Source organism: Homo sapiens, chromosome 2 (genome assembly GCF_000001405.40).
Source record: "Homo sapiens chromosome 2, GRCh38.p14 Primary Assembly".
Classification (NCBI taxonomy): Eukaryota; Metazoa; Chordata; class Mammalia; order Primates; family Hominidae; genus Homo; species Homo sapiens.
This window is the reverse complement of record NC_000002.12, coordinates 12,858,552-12,864,258: the sequence shown is the minus strand read 5'-3', so window position 1 is coordinate 12,864,258 and position 5,707 is coordinate 12,858,552.

Below are 5,707 nucleotides of genomic sequence, written 5' to 3'. Positions count from 1 at the left end.
ATCAAGCCTTTGGGTACTTCTTACTAAAATGCCTGGTGTTCGGTCTAGGTCCTCCCACTTGCTGCATAGAAAGCCAATCACTGAGACACTGAGTATTGCCAGAGAAGAAGGCTTTATTTGGGTGCTGCAGCCAAAGAGAATGGGAGATTAGTCTCAAATCTGTATCCTCACCCAACTAAAATTAGGGGCATATATAACAGGGAAGAAATGTAACTATGTGTGGGAAAACAGGAATTAGGGAGGTAAATGAAGGAGAGTTGGTAAACAGGCAACAGGTGGTTAGTTAGGCAGTCATGACGGGTGAGCAGTCTGATGTCTCATTGTCCAGATGCTGTGATCTGGTGAGTTTCAGCTCCTTGATATTACTTGGCAGGGCTTATGGTTGGTTTCCTAAGAAAGGAACCCAGAGAAGTCAAAGGTAAATTTCTCAAGTTTTAAGACTAGGAGGGTCAATTTCTATGTTTATTCAAAAGAAACCATAAACATGAGTTCTATGTGACAATAGAGCCAGTTTCACTTTTACTGTGATGTATTATAAGATCAGCAAGGGGCCAAAATTTAAAGAGGTGCTACGTCCCCACTGTTCCATTTTGCCCTTTGGAATGGCATTAGGCAAGGGTCAGGTGACATGAAGTGGAGGCAAGGGAAATTGTCTCACTGCCAAGGAGCTCTGAACAAAAGTTCCCTGCCATTCTATAGACCTGGGATAGGAGGAGAGGGATAGGAAGAAAAAGTAGAACTGTAAAAGACTGAATCAGGGGGAAAATGTCTTAGTCAAGTCTCCCTGATAAGTCTCAGTACAGGTGACTAAAAGCATCTCAGCTGAAACCCCATGGTAAGAAGTTTTCTGAATGGAGGCACCTGGGCTAGGAATACCATGATGTGTATGAGTATGACTGGGCCCAGAGGGCTTGAGTTCTGGACTGCAAATGTCCTCAGAAACTGCAGTGCACTGACTGTGTACCAAGACTGCTGTGGGGATGGTAACTGTTCCCTGTGAGGTGTGTCAGTTGAAGCCTTTTTAATTGTCAGTGTTCAGGCCCGAAGAATCATATGTAGGGTTTTAGCATGAAGTTGGACTTCTCACAATGCTTAGAGGAAATTATACCTTAAAGTGTTTATATTATATGATAAAAAAGATCTAAAACCAATGTTCTAAGCTTCACCTTAAGAGTACAGAAAAAAAAGAGCAAGTTATGCCCAAATAATAAGGAAAAAAAAAAGGAAAGAAAATAGTGGAACCCAATGAAATAGAAATGTATAAGCAAGAGAAAAAACAACAATAAACCAAAGTATTTTGGCATTAAAAGATTGATAAAATCTATAAAATTTCAGCTACATTAATAAAGAGAAAATGAGACAAAATTTATTAGCAATATCAGTAACATAAGAGGGGACATCACTGGAGATTACACAGATGTTATACTTACCAAAATTGCAACAGAAATACTTGTTCTGTAACTGGCTCTGTTACACATGTTGAGAGGATACAAAATTGGGTAAGACAGGATGCCAGATGTTAGGGGCTCAAAATTTGGCAGGATATAGACACAAGTACAACTGAATATATAGAAATACCTTGATTTATGGTATTGTAGAGGTTGAATATCTCAATTATTATATACAGAAGTTGAAAAAGGCTAGCAGAAGATGAATCATGAGACCTAAATTTTGTAGAGTGTGTATTACACAAAACTGGGCAAAAGAGTTATCCACATCAAACAGACTGCTTGAGAAAAAGAGCCAGAGCCTAGAGAACATCTTACATTGTTTTGTAACTGATTCGACACATGTGTTTGTAATGTTTGATGGTGGGTGAATTACCGCCTCCTAACAGGTCTTTCTGCTTCCACTCCTATTCTTGTTACAGTCTACATTAGTTATCTGTTGCTGTATAACAAATTACTTAACAATGTACAGACTTAAAACAAGCACTTAATATCTCATAAATTCCATAGATCAAGAATCTGGGCCTGGGCCGGGCGTGGAGGCTCACACCTGTAATCCCATCACTTTGGGAGGCCAAGGCAGGTGGATCAGGAGGTCAGGAGATCGAGACTATCCTGGCTAACATAGTGAAACCTCGTCTCTACTAAAAATACAAAAAAAAAAAAAAAAAAAAAATTAGCCGGGCGTGGTGGCAGGTGCCTGTAGTCCCAGCTACTTGGGATGCTGAAGCAGGAGAATGGCGTGAACCCGGGAGGCAGAGCTTGCAGTGAGCTGAGATTGCGCCACTGCACTCCAGCCTGGGTGACAGAGCGAGACCCTGTCTCAAAAAAAAAGAAAAAAGGAACCGGGCCTGCCTTAATTAAGCACTTATGACACAGGGTCTCTCAAAAGACTGCAATCAAGATATTCCCTAGGGCTGCAGCCATCCCACATCTTGAATAGGGAAGGATGCACTTTCAACTCTCTCAACAGCTGTGGGCAGGCTCAGTTTCTCTCTGAAAGTAAGTGGCTGGAGACATCACTTCCTTGCCCGGTGGACCTCTCCTTAGAGCTAGCCACAGTGTGACAACTTGCTTCTCCCTGCCCTTAGAGTTTTCGGTGGAAGGGAGAAAGATTGATATTGAAAGAGAAAGAGAAAGCAACACAGAACTCACAATCTTTTTTACTAAATGACATCCATTACTTTCACTATATTCAATTTACAACAAGTAAGGCACTAGATCCTGTCCTTATTCAACAGGATGGGATTACACAAGGGCATAAAAGCCAGGAGATATGAATCATTGGGAACCATCTTAGAGGCTGCCTGCAGAAGACTGCTCTCTGCCTCTCAGTGATTCATGTCACTCCCAAATGCAAAATATTGCCTCTCAAGGTGCCCTAAACTCTTACTCCATTGCAGCACTAGCTCAGAGTCTAGAATCTCATCATTTGGGTCAGGTTCATTTATGTCTGAGACCCCTTCAGGTATTGTTCAGTAAGTACTTCTCTTCAAGTACAGTTCTTCTCAGTCTATAAGGTTATCTGTCCTCACACAGCCAACAGATAATGATGAAATGAACAAGGGATAGCCACCATAAACCCTCTTTTCACAAAGGGGAAAAACAGGAAATACAGAGAAGGAATTAGGATATCTAATCGGGCAAATGGTCATAGTTTGTTAATTAAGTCTCAATCTCTGGGAATGATTATCTATGGCTTTCATCTCTATTCTCTGGACTCTTACCTCCCTGTTCCCAGCCGCCCTTCCTTTTTTGTCAAAGTTAGCACATATTTGAAACAGAGTAGTTTTATCAGCCTGCTTCCTGCCAGAAAACTAATGGGGAATCCAAGAAACACTTTTTGATTTTATACTGGCAATATCCTTTCAGTTCAAGCTGACAGTATTTATATTGTTTTATCAAAAACAATTGGCATCCTGCAAATATCATTGATATTTTCTTCATTAGACAAAAGCCACACCCACAAATCTTATTAAGATCCATATTTTTTTTCCTATCTTGGGCTGTTGGTGAGATGGCTGGGGCGCAATGCCCTTAGGCTTCCTAGAGACCCTGTAGTTCAGTTTGAGGTAGGAGGTGGTACTCAACTCTGGAGGCACGGCTCAGATACTGGACCAGATTGAGGACTAGCTAAAACAGGGAAGAGGCAAAAGCAGCTCTCTGTAAGACATGCCCACCAGTGCCATGTCAGTTTACCATTGCCATGGCAACACCTGGAAGTTACTGCTCCTTTCCATGGCAATGACCCAATGACCCAGAAGTTACCACCCTTTTACTAGAAATTTCTGCATACTCTGCCCCTTAATTTGCATATACTTAAAAGTGGGTATAAATATGATTGCAGAACTGCCTCTGAGCTGCTACTCTAGGCATACTACCTATGCAGTAGCCCTGCTCTGCTAGGATTAGTACCTCCACTGCTGCTGTGCACAGCTGCTTCTATAAAAGTTGCCATCTAACACCACCAACTCACCCATGAATTCTTTCCTGGGCAAAGCCAAGAACCCTCTCAGGCTAAGCCCCAATTTTGCAGCCCGCCTGCCCTGTGTCAAGTTGACAGGCTCTGTGATGTGCAACCTTGATCTCTTCAAATGGATTTTTATGTGATGGATACTTTGAGGTGCCACACTTGATCTTTCAGACATCCTAATGATAAGCCTGACAGTCCCACTTTCAGCCTTACCTGTAGATTACATTTTCCTGGCAGTGCTATGGTTCTGAACTTTGCTTGGAAGCCATGTATTAATTTTGGCATCTTTTGGTGTCTGAAAAAGCTAAATAATTTTTAAACCATCCAGTCCTGGCTCCTTTAAGTTTAATAGTTGTTTCCTCAATTTATCTCTCTCCTCTTACCTTTTACTTTAAATAGCAAAATAAAAACAGGCAATACCTTAAACGCTTTGTTTGGAAAGCTTATTAGCTAAATGAAAAAGTTCATTACAAACATCTGCTTTCCACATAACTTCAGGTGACAGTGTTACTAAGCTTTCTGCCACTACATAACAAAGAAACAAGGATTGCCTTTCCTCTAGTTTTTAATAACATGTTCCTCTTTTCCTTTTGAACCCTCACTGGAAACATCTTCAAAGTCTATATTTGCACTAACAATCTGTTAGTGCAAGCAATTTAGGATTTCTGTAACATGTTCTTCAAAATCCTTTCAGTCTCTACCTTCTGCCTGTTTCTGAAGCCAACTTCACATATTTAGATATCTTTAAAGTGCATCCCACTCCTGATACCAATATCTGTTATTAGTTATCTACCTCTGTGTAAAACATTACCTCCAAACTTAGCTGCTTAAACAATACCTAATTTCTATCTCACATATTTCTATGGGGTAGTAACTAGACATGGCTTGGTGGAGCAGCTCTGACTCAGGGTCTCTCACAAGGTTAGAAACTGAAGTGTCACTGTAATGTAGTTATCTTCAGGCTCAATTAAGGGAGGATCTGCTTTTGATATGGGCCAAATTGTGTCCCCAAAAGGCATATGTTAAAGCCCTAACCTATAATACTTCAGAATGTTACTGTATTTAGAGATAGGGCATTTAAAGAGGTAATTAAGGTCAAATGAGGCCACAGGGTGGGGTCCTAATTCACTATGACTGGTGCCTTTATAAGAAGAGGGAAAGACAGGAGAGGCTCACATGCACTGAGGAAAGGCCATGTGAGAACATAGTAAGAAGCAGATGTCTGTAAGCCAAGGAGAGAGGCCCCAGGAGAAACCAACCCTGGCAACACCTTGACCTTGGATTTCTAGTCTCCAGAGAAAATAAATTTCTGTTGTTTAAGCTATTCAGTGTGTGGTATTTTGTTATGGCAGCCCCAGCCAACTAATAAAACTTCCAGGCTCACTCACATGGCTGTGGGCAGTGATTGTAGACTGCTGTTAGGAAGGGACATTTTTTTCTTTGTTAGGTAAGCCTTTCCATAGGGCAGCTCACAACATGAAACCTGCCATATGTGCATGTATGACAGAGCAAAGGAAGAGAAGGACCAGGAGAGGAAAAGAGAGAATAAGAGAAAGAGAGAGATGAAAGCCAAAGTCTTTTCACAACCTAATATCAGAAGAGATATCTCATTTATTTGCTGTTTTCAGTTAATTAGAAGTGAGTCAGTAGGTCCAGTCAACTCTCAAGGAGAGAGGATTACACCATGGTGTGAATATATGAGGGTGAGGATATCGTTCAGTTTATTGTCCACAGAAAGGCCAAAGTAAACTCTTTAAAAATGGCAATCATGTTCCTCCCAGATTGA